The sequence below is a fragment of the Homo sapiens genome, chromosome 9, assembly GCF_000001405.40.
Source record: "Homo sapiens chromosome 9, GRCh38.p14 Primary Assembly".
NCBI classification, from domain to species: domain Eukaryota; kingdom Metazoa; phylum Chordata; class Mammalia; order Primates; family Hominidae; genus Homo; species Homo sapiens.
The window spans coordinates 74800199-74814618 of record NC_000009.12 but is presented as its reverse complement, the minus strand read 5'-3'; the positions used below and the strand labels follow the sequence as shown (position 1 = coordinate 74814618).

Sequence of the window (14420 nt, the reverse complement as noted above, 5' to 3'; positions counted from 1 at the left end):
AATTTCTTCTTTTTTTAGTTTTTAATTTTTGTGTGCTCACAGTGGGTGTATATATTTATGGGGTGTCTGGGATATTTTGATACAGGCATACAATGTGTAATAATCACATCAAAGTAAATGAGGTATCCATCCCCTCAAGCATTTGTCCTTTGTTACAAACAATCCAATTATAATACTTAATTATTTTAAAATGTACAATTAAATTATTATTGACTATAGTCATTCTGTTGTGCTATCAAATACTAGATCTTATTCATTCTTTCTAACTATTTTTTGGTACCTATTAATTATCCCCCTTATCCCCCTCAGTACTCTTCCCAGCTTCTGGTAACCATCCTTCTGCTCTCCATCTCCATGGATTCAATTGTTTTCATTTTCAGCTCCTACGAATTATTGAGCACATGTAAATTTGTCTTTCTATGCCTGGCAGTCTATTAATTTGTGACAGCAAACTTGCTCCCTGATTGCACCCTCCCCTATGTTTTTCATTAGCATCCAGAATCCAATATTTTCTTTTTCTTTGAGATGGAGTCTCACTCTGTGGCCCAGGCTGGAGTGCAGTGGTACAATCTTGGCTTATTGCAATGTCCACCTCTCAGATTCAAGCAATTCTCCTGCCTCAGCTTCCCGAGTAGCTGGGATTACAGGTTCCTGCCACCACACCTGGCTAATTTTTGTATTTTTAGTAGAGATGGAGTTTCACCATGTTGGCCAGGCTGGTTTCGAACTCCTGACCACAGGTGATATGCCTGCCTCAGCCTCCCAAAGTGCTGGGATTATAGGCGTGAGCCCCTGTGCCCGGCCCAGAATACGATATCTTCTTTTACCTTTTTGAGGATATGAATGAGAGCTCTTTTGAAGTTTTCTTCTTCTTGGATTGTCTGCTTCCTGCTAGTTGATGTTTTTTGATCTGTTTGTTTTGGTCTTTTTGTTTAAGTGTAGCGGATAAAAAACTCTTTGGAAATTCCGAGCCTGTAGTTGGAGGTTGCCTATAGGTTTGAGTTTCACAGTAGGGTGATCTGACTGCCATTAGTTCAGGGGCCCCCAGATACCAACATATTCATGTCTTTTCTCTTGTATTGGTGACATTATCAGAAAAGAATCCTCTAGTTCCCTGACTGGAAGGTGTAAGCCTTGTTGCTAGTGTTATGGGACTCAAAGGGGAAAGATGACTGGAAAGACCCCAACATTAGGGATTCAGCATGTATACATGTATTTTGTTTTTGTTGGAATTCTGTAGTATAAATCTGTTTGTCTCTTGACATTTTCCACTTCTACTATTTGGCTTTCTGGTGACTGCTCAGTCAATTATGACTTGACCATCTGCTTTCCAGCTTCCAAAATGTTGCATTCTTGTCTCCACTCTTGTCCTCCTTGTCCTTGTAGATTTATTTTGTAACAAAAATCCCTTTACTGTAGTTTTAATGAAGTTTTGAGTGGGAGAAAAATTAGATGAGCATGTTCAACTTGCCATTTGTGCCTAGAAGCCAGGTAGAGTCTAAATGGACACATGACAAGTAACAAAAACAAAAGAAGAAGAAGAAACCTTGAATGTCTATCAGAATTGCATTAAGCCTGTACATTCATTCATTTGGGAAGCTTCGAGATCTTTACAATAATCAGTTTTCCCATCCAAGTACATGGGATGTTCTTTGATTTATTCAAGATGTCTTCACTTAAGTCCTGCACATTTCTTAGTAAGACTATTTATTCATTCATTCATTCATTCAAGACAGGGTCTTGCCCTGTTGCCCAGGCTGGAGTGTAGTGATGCATTCATGGCTTACTGCAGCCTTGACCCCTTGGGCTCAATTGGTCCTCCCACCTCAGCCTCCCAATTAGCTGGGACCACAGGTGCATGCCACTATGCCTGGCTAATTTTTGTATTTTTCGTAGAGACAGGGTTTTGCTGTGTTGCCAAGGCTGGTTTGGAACACCTAAACTCAAGCAATCCACCTGCCTCAGCCTCCAAGGGTGCTAGGATTACAGGTGTGCGCCACTGAGCCTGGCCTAGTAAGACTGTATTTAAATTTTTTCCTTTTTTTTTTTTTTCTGTACCCACTGATGGCAGGATTTTATTTTAAAATTATTGTGTTTGTGTAATTTTGAGTTCAAAAACATGTAATTCTTTAGTTATTTCTACTTTCTTAATTGTCTTTATATTTCTTATTTGTGCTTTCTGAAGCCTGATGCCCTGGAACAAGCAATGTCAGATGCTTTAGTGATGGATCGGGTGGATTTTGTGAAGCTCTTAATAGAATATGGAGTGAACCTCCATCGCTTTCTTACCATCCCTCGACTGGAAGAGCTCTACAATACAGTGAGTATGGAACATTTCATCAATCATTTCCCTCCAGATTCAAGAAGAGCAAGGATCATCAAGCAGACCATGCAGAGGCAAAACTCCTTATCTGAGGAAATTAGAAGTAGCTGGACTTCCCTATTATCTGAAGCTGGATCTAGTTCCAGGCTTCTTTCCCCAACATTTATAAGTAACTAGAATTTCTGTACATCTTCAAAATGCATACATGTTAAAACTCATTGTGCAACCCTTCCTGACATGAAGGCACCAAAATGGCTACAAATGCAATCATTTATCATGACCTACATGGCTAACATGGTTCAAATTACCCTTAAGCTCCCACTTTAAGGTCCATAAATACTCCTGAGGAAAATCCACTGCTGTGAGCTCAGTTCTCTCTTGCTGAAGCTCCCTTCTGCACTCTTCTCCAGCATTCTTTCCTTCTAATAAAACGTTCCTTTTTCAAAATCTATACTGTTGTCAGTAAATTATTCTTACTACCTGCAAGCCAGTCACTTTCCATTGCCAGGGGTCTGACACCTTGCCTGGTAATTATTTATTGATCAGCTTAAGACTTATTTATCTCCTTGAATATTCTTGTACAAAGATAGTTTATAGATAGACTCTTCAACCAAAGGAGAAACATTCTTACCAATTCTATTTTATCCTAGTAAAACATAGTTAAAGACTAAATTGTGAATAAGAACAAATTACCTTTTATTGAGTTATTGGAAGTATCTCAACCTAAGGCCACTATTAAAATACTGTTCCTGTACCTTTCCCATGTAAACCCTTTGTTGAAACTAGCCTGACTTACACACTGTGAAAACACCAATTGCTCAAGCCATGGACACTTCTTGAAATAGCCTTCCTTGTCCTTTAAATCTTATTCTTTCTTCAATGATTTATTCAAGTCTTGTCTTCTTGATTACTGCAGTTAGTTCACAGTGATTTGTTCCTAGAGTACCAATTATTTGTAACTCTTTTTGAGCCCACACATATTGTTGGTTATTTTTTAGTGTAAGTAGCCACTCTTTTCTATTATTATAAACACTCCAGGAAAATAGTGCTTATATTTGTCATTGAATCCCTAATTGAATATAGTAAGTATTCAATAAATATTTGTTGCTGGAATGTGCTCGTGTGATAGGATTTGTAATTGTATGATAAAGGATAGTAATAAATTACCTAAGATTCATTTCTATCTCTTATCACATAAAGTCTTTATTATCTACATATTTGCATCTTGCTTTGAAAAATATTTCATATAAATACATCTTCTCTTGGAAAACACCTTCTTTAGAATTAATTGGCTTAAGCATTGTTACTAAAAATATTGAACACAATTTTCAGTATTCTCAGTTACTTATGCATTCTGAAGTAAAGGTTTTACCCCCCAGCACATGGTAATTAAAGAGAATAATTCTTCCTTTTGTTCTTTATTTCAGAAACAAGGACCTACTAATACACTCTTGCATCATCTCGTCCAAGATGTGAAACAGGTAACCTAATTAAGAAGGCGTGAACATGTCTTTGTGTATTGCCTTAGCTTTGTGTTGGAGGAGTCACTGAATTTTGCTTTGTAAAATGCAGATTTGGATTGTTTTGTTAATTACCTATCTTCTTTACCTTGATTTGAACAAGTTCATCAACAAACCACATTCGTACACTTTTTTCCTTAATTTACTTTATGTTTTAAAAGACTTGATCCATCAGTTAGGTGATATTTGCTAATAAAAAGCCATGAATCAGAGACATGCAATGCTTCTAATCAGAACTTCAGCTTACCCCGATACCGTGGTGGTGCCTATGATGATGATACCAGCTGGAAATAAATAACTTTGTGGTTGTGTTATCCTTATTGGAGGACTAATATGTGATTTCCATTGTTTTTGATATCAGTGATAGTTCTGGCACTCTCTTGCTGCTTTTGTGAGTCTGCATTGTTCTAGGCAGTCAGGTGGTTCCCCTCCCTGTTCTATACTCTTGGTCATGTTTTGCTCATGGTGTTCTCACTGAACTGTGAGTTAGGTCAAACTTAAAGTATTTGATTTCCCATTAGTTACCAAAGCCTTCCAACTTTAACAAACTTTTATACCTCAGTTTCTTTTCTTTCCATTACCAGTGACTTTTATCCACATCCCCTGAAAATTGGGAGTACTTTTTATTTATTTGTCACTATGGTTAAAATCCAAGGCACATTTTTAAAATTCTCTTGTTTTTCCAAAGTCTGATATCTTGTTAGAAGGAATGTGAGCTTTCAGTTTATGTTGACGTGGAGAGAGAGCCAGAGTGAAAGGAAGACATATCCTTGTTTTTTTTTTTTTTTTTTTTTTTTTTGAGATGGAGTTTTGCTCTTGCCCAGGCTGGAGTGCAATGATGGGATCTTGGCTCACTGCAACCTCCGCCTCTTGGTTCAAGTGATTCTCCTGCCTCAGCCTCCTGAATAGCTGGGACTACAGATGCCTGCCACCACACCCGGCAACTTTTCTGTATTTTTGGTAGACGTGGGGTTTCACCATGTTGGCCAGGCTGGTCTCGAACTCCTGACCGCAGGTGATCCACCCGCCTTGGTCTCCCAAAGTGCTGGGATTACAGGCATGGTCCATCGTGCTCCACCTATTCCTTGGCAAATTAGCAGTAAGCAAAAGTGTCCGTGCTCATGTAAATTTAGTTTGTATTGATTTATGCAATATAAAAATGATTTTATTTATTTTTTTTAAACTGTGCCACAGTAAACTGAAAAAAAGTGATGAACTAGGTTAAATATGTTCTAACTAGCAGCAATAAGAGCATTACTTTTGGCATTCCTTGAAAAAAGTAAATTATGCATGTGAAAAAGAAAAATTAAATTATTTACATTCATTCATATATAACCTTATTTCTTGTTCCAAGCTTTGTGAATATTAGTCACAATCTTCATTTCGGAGACCTTGTTCAACACTCTGTGTGCCTTTAAAAATTTACTATAAATGGGCAGTTTAAAAGTGAACAGTTATGAAGAGGTAGTAAGGTGCAATTTAAGTAGTCAAAATAATTTTCATTTAGACTAAGACCCACATACTTGGAAATCTACCACTCAGCCCTCCTGCCAACCAATCATAACACTTGTCTTGGCACAGCCTCATGGTTTTGTTTGTTTGTTTTGCTTTATTGCAATATTCTCTTTATTGTGGTGGTCTCGAACTGAACCCGCAATATCTCTAAGGTATGCCTGTATGGAGTTTCAGATAGTTACTCAGCTTGGCCAAGTGCATATGCTAAACTCTGGGTAGACAAAGACAGACCCTTTCACATAGTCTGTAAAGGAAGACAGACATGCAAGCTGACAACTTCAATACCCTTGTAATATATCCTGTGGGATTTTGGACCATAGGCAAAGTGGATTATAGACACAAAGACCCCCAAATATGCCCTGAAATATAGAAAACACTATACTGTCTATACTGGATTAAGTTCAATTCAAGGAAGAACGTGGCTGCATAAGCCTCATGTTTTGGTATTGAATTTGACTTTGTCATTCTATATTCCTTGTTTTCATTTGTTCTACTTCCTCCCATATTCTTGTTTTACATATGATGTAGTCAACGCAGTGCAAAGTGTTATATCCATTTCAACAAAGAGAGAAGCTGAAAAGCTAACCCAATGTTAATTTTGGATCACACACATTCAGTGTAGACTTTAAGATTTTACTTCTGTTGGAGTAGCTATATTATTTCTAGTTAAAAAACTCTCTATATACATATTTATTTGTTTTTCTACTTGTTTAATATTTTTCTCTTCCAATTAGGAACTCAATATGGAATAAAAAATATTTAAATGTATTTTACTCAAACGTGTGTGTATATATGTTTGTGTGCATGATAAGGAGAGTGAGAGCAAGAGTAAGAGAGAGAGAGCACGCATAGATGGAAGCACACATTTAATGTCTATGAAATGAGAAAACATTAAGGCTAAGATATTTTTCCTTCTGAACTAGCAGATTGTATCAATGGCTGGTCACTTAAATTAATCAGTTTGTAAAGATATTTAAAAGGTATGTCTACCTTCTTGCAATTAATTTGATTATGTTCTAATGGCATGGCAAGAGAAATGAAAGAAGATAACTAAAAGTTAAAAGTCGTTGCATGTTTTTGTTGCAGCATACCCTTCTTTCAGGCTACCGAATAACCTTGATTGACATTGGATTAGTAGTAGAATACCTCATTGGTAGAGCATATCGCAGCAACTACACTAGAAAACATTTCAGAGCCCTCTACAACAACCTCTACAGAAAATACAAGGTAGAGTAATTGAAAAGTGCCCAAGTAAAATTGAGAATGATTAGGAATTGTTGTTTTGGAAAAATGGCCTTGGAAGTTCAGACAAAAATAGCTCCTAAAATGGTCATTTTATTTATGGACATTTGTTATCTGCTGTATGTGAAGTATACTGTACTAAGTGTTGCAGTGTTGGCTTGGGATGCGTAAGGATCAGAAGTTTAGAAACTCTTAAACAGATTTATGAGTAACTAGCCATAATACAAAACAGTATATAATACATGCTATAGTGACATAGAAATAATGTGATGAGGCAGGTTAGAGGGAGAGATGACTAGTTCTTTTTTTTTCTTTTCTTTTTTTCTTCCGAAAATACTGATATCAAAAGCTTAATCAGATTAGATATGTAAACTCATCCTAGTCCATAGTCTGGAGATAACAAACTTGGTATAAGCATGTAGTGATTATATTGAAAGATGCGTGTAGAATATCCTTAAAAACATAAGTGATACATATTTTATTTTCCATGATAGTTTTGAGAATCTAGGAATGTAAAATTAGAGTTGTTGGTTAGTAGTTAGCAGAGGAAACATTGCCTATTTCTTGAAATTGCCATTATGGATTAGCAACCTGAGGAGACTCATTCTTATTAGAAGATGAGGGGAGGATTAGAAAATGTAGTTTTGGGTATTTTTGTTGAGAGAAGAGAAGGAGCAGTAAAGGGCACAGCCTTTGGATATTCAGGTATGTTTCTGCTGTGACAAGGAGACCTTTGTTGCTGGAGAATCAGTGTCATATGGTTTTAAGGGAGGAGACTGGAAAGGCAGTTTGGGGTAAGATTCCATAAACAGCCTAGAATATCAAGCTACTTGGGATCCTTTATAAAGAATCAAGTGACGTGAAAGCCCAGCTTGGCTTTCAGAAATGAAAAAGCAAAACAGGAAAGCCAAATCTGACACAGAAAAATGTTCTCTATTAAGATTTCAAAGGCATAAGGATACACTTAAGGAGGTATCAGCTACTTCATTTAAACAGAACAGACATTGCTGTGAGGTTCCCAGTGACAAGTAGGAGGACTGACTGTGGCGCTGGTGCAGCCCAGTGTGGAGCTTGCTAGGGAAGTTCCCTTAGTGCCCTTTCTTTAAATGGCCTGCCAGTACGAAGTCACCCATTTCTTGGATTGTCTTCCAGTGGAGTGCAGAGTTTATTGTGTGTCATATTAAACTAGACTGTAGTAGTTACAAGCACATGATTTTGGAGTCAAGAGACATCTGGCTAGGACTGCCTCCAATTTTGCTCTTTAGTAGCTGTGTAATCTTGAACAATAAGCTTAACTTCTCTGTGCATGTTTTCTCATCTATAAATGGGAATAGTAATGACCCTTTTATAAATTTGTCAGAAGGATTAAATAATATATGAAAAATCCATGTTCCTGATACACAGAGGGTGCAGAGTCATCGTTAGTAATAATGGTCATTATGATAATTACTATAATGACACTATTAATTCATATTACAATAGTAATAATAATTTGGGTGTTGCCTTTAAAAAGTCTTCACCTCATCATTTCTATGTTCAATTTTTATCAACAAAACAGAAACTTAAATAAAGCAGTTCAAAGCCTGTAGTTTGGGCTGGGCATGGTGGCTCACGCCTGTAATCCCAAGACTTTGGGAGGCCAAGGCAGGAGGATTGCTTGAGCCCAGGAATTCGAGACCAGCCTGGGCAACACGGTGAGATCCAGTCTCTAAATAAATAAATAAATAAATAAATAAATACAATAAATTTTTAAAAAGCCTATGGTTTTTTTTTCTCAGTTGTATTTTTTAATGGAAAATTTTAAACATACAAAAATAGAGAATAGTATAATGAATCCACATGTACCTATCACTCAGTTTCAATAATAGCAACAATGGCCAACCTCCTGCCCCCAGATTATTTAAGATCAAATCTTACATCATATCATTTCATTCATAAATTCTTGTGAATATCTCTAAATGAAATGTACTTAGGAAAATGTAATTATGATGCCATTATCATACATAAAAAATGAATAATTCCTTAATATAATCAATGAATAATTCCTTAATATAATGAAATATCCAATCAACATTCACAATGCTTTCTGATTCAGCTGTGAGGGTTTCAATTTAAGCAGTTCCAGCTTTTCTGAACTGGTCTAACTACTGCTTGCTTGCATTTGACTCTTTGTGTTTTCTGTATTAAGACTTCCAACCTCAAAATAGGCAGGCACTTTTTTTTTTCCAGTCGTCTTTTCGATACTTAAGAAAAACCAACTAGGGCTCTCCTCACCTCCTCCTCATCCCCAAGTCATTATACCACCCTAATGCCTGCCTGGGGCTCCTGGGCATCCCTGCCACAGTCACCCAGGTATAGTTTGCTTTAAGGACACCAATGATCTTAAACTTCAACTTTCAAATTTTCGTCCAGGTGAAAATGTGAAAAATTCACATTCACAGATAGCACGTATTTGTCACATTCTGAGACATGTTACTTAAGCAACATCTCAGTTCTATGGCCTCCTCATTTGGTTCTGGAGTAGCATTGTCTGAAAATTGTTTCTATTTTCTTTATAAGTTTCCTCAGTAATGAGGGAGTAATTTCTGGGATTAGCGGCCAGAGCCACTCTTTACTGAACCTGTGGGCTCTTAGTGTGGGCAGATTATCTAGTGGTAAACGTTCTCCCTCAACAAGTGAAGACATTCCTTTTTAAGAAATTGCATTACAGAGCATAGGTTTGCGGATGATCTTCCAAATCAATAGCAAGGTGAAAATGAATCTGTATTTCTTCCTAGGAGAATGACTTAAGTATCAAAAACTAACAGAGGCCTTAGGAAAAATGGAAACATTCATGCCAAAAGCATCCTGTTTATGGTTTTGCCTCTAAAGTTAACCACAAATTAGGATTGGAGATTTTATCCAATTATGTTAGAAAAATTACTTGATTCAGTCTTTGCTCATTTGAAGGAGTTGTGCTCAGTTGCAATGATCATTTAACCTTTGTTACAGCTAATGTAAAATTAAACTAATTTTAATTAGTCTTTAATTGTTTAAGATGACATTTCAAACAAAATTTTTATTATTTTTCTATTAAAAAGTTCTCCCTCTTTAAACTTTATTTTCCATAAATATTTATAATCATTCATTTGCTATGTGCATATTTTGGGATTTTTTGTGCTTCGGACTTTTCTTTTTTTAGAAACTGATGTTTATTTTACATTAAGCTTATTTCCATGTTGCTTACGAGCCCGTGCAAGGGCAGCTTAAGACCATTCAGTGGTTGCTTCTACCCATTCAGTGGCCTGAGCAGTGGGAGCTGCAGACCGGTCTTCCATGGCAGGCTGAGAGCTCCAGTCTTCAGTAGGGAACTGCTGAATAGTCACAGAGGACACCTTCATGCCTTCAGACCAGTTTGTAACCTCAGGCTGAGTAGCAGTGAACTCAGGAGCTGAAGCAGTCCATTCACCCTGAAATTCCTCCTTGGTCACCGCGTTTGCAGCAGCAGCCTGCTCTTCTTTTTCAATCTCTTCAGGATCTCTGTAGAAATAGAGATCAGGCAAGCTTATGGTTTTTATCATATTTTATGTTAGTCCCTTTAAGAATGCTTCTTTTTGTTTTTGTATCTTGTTGATGAAAACTTCCTGCTAATGGCAATGAGTTGTGTTGTTATTGGGCCTGGCCACTGGAGTTCCAGTGGAGATATTATATAATACCTGAGAAATTCCATAACTTTCTGACTTAACCTTAACCTTGGAACTGCTTGTGAATGGGAATTTTTTCTTATCAGAACTGTAAATCTTTATTGCCTATTTTGAACTCGTTCCAGGGAGAGAACATCCATTCATTCTAATGGAATTTCCACGTAGTGAAGGTATGCAGATATATAATAGGGAACAAAAGAGTGTGTTCTCTAAGATGTTAGGAAATAACAAAATGCACAATGAGATCATTAGAGGCTCTTGTTGGGTGCTAATCATGGAGAGAAACAGAGGCATGGATATTTGGTAGGACACAACATTATATTTGGTTTTCATTATTGTCTAGAAATAAAATATTGTTACCACTATAATCTCCCCTCCTTTTGTTTTATTTTAAAAATAAAATAATAACGTGCCAGAGAGTGACCAGCTTTGTTCAAAACCTTTCCCAGCACCAGAGACACTCCTCAGGAAATAGAAATGAGTCTGCAGAAAGTACGCTGCACTCCCAGTTCATTAGAACTGCACAGCCATACAAATTCAAGGTACCATTTACTTGTTTTTCAACTTGAAAGGAAAATGTTTTTTGCAGCTCGAGACTGTTTCTTCATTTACATCAAAGAAAGGGAGGTGCAAATAGAGGGACCATTTATAAGTGCCATAAACAGATGGTGCAAGTCAAAAGCATAACACAGCTGTCCAGTAACAACAGTGAGCAAAGGCACAGTGATTCTCTGGACTTGCACTTTAGCCTCTCTTCCTTGCTGCTATCCCTGCTGTGTCTAGACAGTGACTCAGTCAGGTGATCTATGGGATGGTACTTAAAAAATGTGATCATTAACCCAACACCATACTCTTATGTGCTGTTCCCTAAGGCCAGTTGGATGTGAAGTCTGTTTCCTTCTTTTCTTCACTTCTCTGCCGCATTGACTTTTTGCATCTTTTTTTAAAAATTTTTTCCTTTTTGAGGCTTTCTTGAAATTATTATGAATCTAATATTACAGTATGACAATGATGATGAGTGTGTGTGTGTGTGTGTGTGTACAACATTGTTATTCCTCCTAGTCTCATACTCCTCCAGTCCCACTTTACTCTGAGAATAAATGCTTTTGCTCAAGAATTTCCATGCAAATGGTTATTATGTTAGCTGAAAGAGGTTTGCTTTCCATAGCTCCTGGTATGAAAGAGGTATTTTATAAAATTACTCTTGGTCATCATCAATGAACATGAATTCCTTTTATTTATAGAAATAGAGGAAATGGATTATAATTTTTTGCTAAGACCTCTCAAATTAAAAGGAGTAATTATTGAATCTTTAGTATTTGCCAGGCATTATACTGAGTGCTTGGTTGAACTTGGAAGGTGGGTGGGGAGGGGAGGATATAATTGTGTCCGAGAAATGGTCTCATCTTCCTCAAAGTCATAACCGTAGTGCAGTATGATGAGCCCAGAGATAAAGACACACAAAGTGATGATACAGGATTATGTGAGGAGGTAGAATGGCATGATGAATGGGGATTTATCAGGTGGAGAATGGTATTTCATGATCACCTGTTACCTTTGCTGATAAATATAATCAGAATAAAGGAAAAGAAACTTCAAATCAATCTATTTGGATACATGTTGGCTACACTAGGGATGTTTTCCCAAAGGGAAGATAATGAATCTATTTGCTAAGTGAGGTTAGAGCTTTTTAAAAATACATCACTCCCATGTATCCAATACGCTATTTCGACCCATTTCCTTGAGAAACTAAAAGTTGTCATGTAGTCTCTATTTCAGCACTCATCGTACTGCTCTGTGGTTATTACTTTGAGGAAGATGGAACCATTTCTCAGGCATTGTTATGTCTCCCCCTACCCACCCATCTTTCAAATTCAATTAAGCACTCTGGGTATATCCTAAAGAGGCACTGCTTTAAGTTATGCTAAATGACCTTAAGATATATCAGTTCAGGGACTCTGGATCTGTTAAATGCAACAAGAAGTAGATTACCTTTTATGGTCTAAATTTTGCTTGCTGGCTTGTAAAATCTTATTATTATTTCCATCTCTTTTTTAGTAGTGATTAAAAAAAATCTCTAGGACACCTGCTGTGTTGAATTAGGTAAAACATCATACATCTGAGTATTTGAAAACTCATTCCTATTTTATTTTCCAACAGGAAAAGTCTATAGTCCTTCATAAATCAAGGAAGAAGTCAAAAGAACAAAATGTATCAGATGACCCTGAGTCTACTGGCTTTCTTTACCCTTACAATGACCTGCTGGTTTGGGCTGTGCTGATGAAAAGGCAGAAGATGGCTATGTTCTTCTGGCAGCATGGAGAGGAGGCCACGGTTAAAGCCGTGATTGCGTGTATCCTCTACCGGGCAATGGCCCATGAAGCTAAGGAGAGTCACATGGTGGATGATGCCTCAGAAGAGTTGAAGAATTACTCAAAGTAAGTGTTCTCTCTTCACTTCATACTAAACATCAACACTTCTTAGAATGGTTAGACACTTTTATCTCTCTCATCTTTAAACTTGTAGGACAAATGGACTTACCGCCATGCATTTTATGGACTCTCCTGTTAAAAGGGTCTTCAGGTATTCTAAGGAGCTTTGTGAAGTAAAGAAAAGAGAGGTGACCTTCAAGTCAGGGGACTTGGGTTCTAGTCCAGCTGTTGACTAATTAGACAAGTCAGTTGACCAGATTTCGGGGCTTTAGTTTCCTAACTATGAAATGTTCAATTAATGATTTTGAAAGCTCCCCCTAACTCTAGAAGTCTTTGATGCTAAATTAAATTAAGACATTGTTTTCATTAAGTATCTCTCAGGTGGGAAAACAAATAAATGCATTGTCTTAAAGAGCCAGAGAGTAATGGTGGAAAATAGAAGTTAAAAATGCTTTTGGTTTTGAAGTTACTAAAGTGTTATAGTAATGAAGAAAGAATGAAAGCTAGAATCAATGGAAACTAATTTATAATTTTGATGTAAAAATTCCCAGGCTGGAGGCAGAGGTTGCAGTGAACTGAGATCGTGCCACTGCACTCCAGCCTGGCGACAGAGTGAGACTCCGTCAATAAAAAAAAAAAAAAAAAAAAAAAAAAAAAAAATTCCCAGGCTTGGTGCAGTGGCTCACACCTTTAATCTCAGCACTTTGGGACACCAAGGTGGGAGGATTGATTGAGGCTAGGAGTTCAAGACCAGCCTGGGCAACACAGCAAGACCCTGTCTCTACCAAAAAGACAAATTCCAGAGCATGACAATGTCTACCTTTCAGAGGAAACATTCTCCTCGAAAATCACATGGGGGTGTCTCTAGGTCTAGGTCTATAGCTTTCTTAAGTCATGTAGATATTTTATAAAATCTTAAAAAAACAAGTGACTCCACAGCTTTCCTTACTTGCTAGTTGGGTTCTGAATAGTTTTTTTTGTCAAAAAAAAAAAAAAAAACACACTTTATTAGGTCTTATCAGGGAGTCCCAAACAAACCAAGCTATGTATAAGCCTATGTATAAGTCCCAAACCAAGCTATGTCCAATAGTGTGGAGTGGCTACTCCCTATGAATAGCTCAGGTGTAAATTAAATTCTGTATGCTACAATGTAAACCTCCTAGTTCTGTTCCTTCAGGAAAGGGAGAAAAATCCCTTTCCTGAGCTGTAATTCCTTTCAAATAGTTTCTGGAAACTAAGATTATTAAGTTGCTGTTTGGTGTTGTTGGCTTTTTTTTTTTTTTTAAAGGAAGCCTTATGAATTGATATTTTCTGAGCCTCACATCCAATCTTTTACAATGTTTCTAAATGTTCTAAAATGTTTCTAATAATGCAGCTCTCTCACCTGCCTTTGTTTTCTTAATTGGCCACCCTCATGGCAGACAGTTTGGCCAGCTGGCTCTGGACTTGTTGGAGAAGGCATTCAAGCAGAATGAGCGCATGGCCATGACGCTGTTGACGTATGAACTCAGGAACTGGAGCAATTCGACCTGCCTTAAACTGGCCGTGTCGGGAGGATTACGACCCTTTGTTTCACATACTTGTACCCAGATGCTACTGACAGACATGTGGATGGGGAGGCTGAAAATGAGGAAAAACTCTTGGTTAAAGGTAAATTTACTTTACTTGTCTTATGGAGTTTAATGTTAGTCTTGTATAAAATTCT

General features: G+C 37.2%; 1 protein-coding gene and 1 pseudogene across 3 annotated transcripts in view; one reads left to right on the top strand and one right to left on the bottom strand.

Annotated features, from left to right (window-relative positions):
• TRPM6 (transient receptor potential cation channel subfamily M member 6) overlaps window positions 1-14420 on the top strand; it is a 165427-nt gene that overhangs the window by 73303 nt on the left and 77704 nt on the right. For all 3 annotated transcript variants that reach the window (NM_017662.5, NM_001177310.2, NM_001177311.2), the window contains exons 12-17: window positions 2186-2320; window positions 3751-3804; window positions 6445-6585; window positions 10733-10825; window positions 12444-12721; window positions 14137-14365. In NM_017662.5, coding sequence (NP_060132.3) covers window positions 2186-2320; window positions 3751-3804; window positions 6445-6585; window positions 10733-10825; window positions 12444-12721; window positions 14137-14365 — 930 coding nt within the window. The remainder of the gene's footprint in view (window positions 1-2185; window positions 2321-3750; window positions 3805-6444; window positions 6586-10732; window positions 10826-12443; window positions 12722-14136; window positions 14366-14420) is intronic.
• On the bottom strand, window positions 9776-10155 carry RPSAP75 (ribosomal protein SA pseudogene 75; annotated as a pseudogene).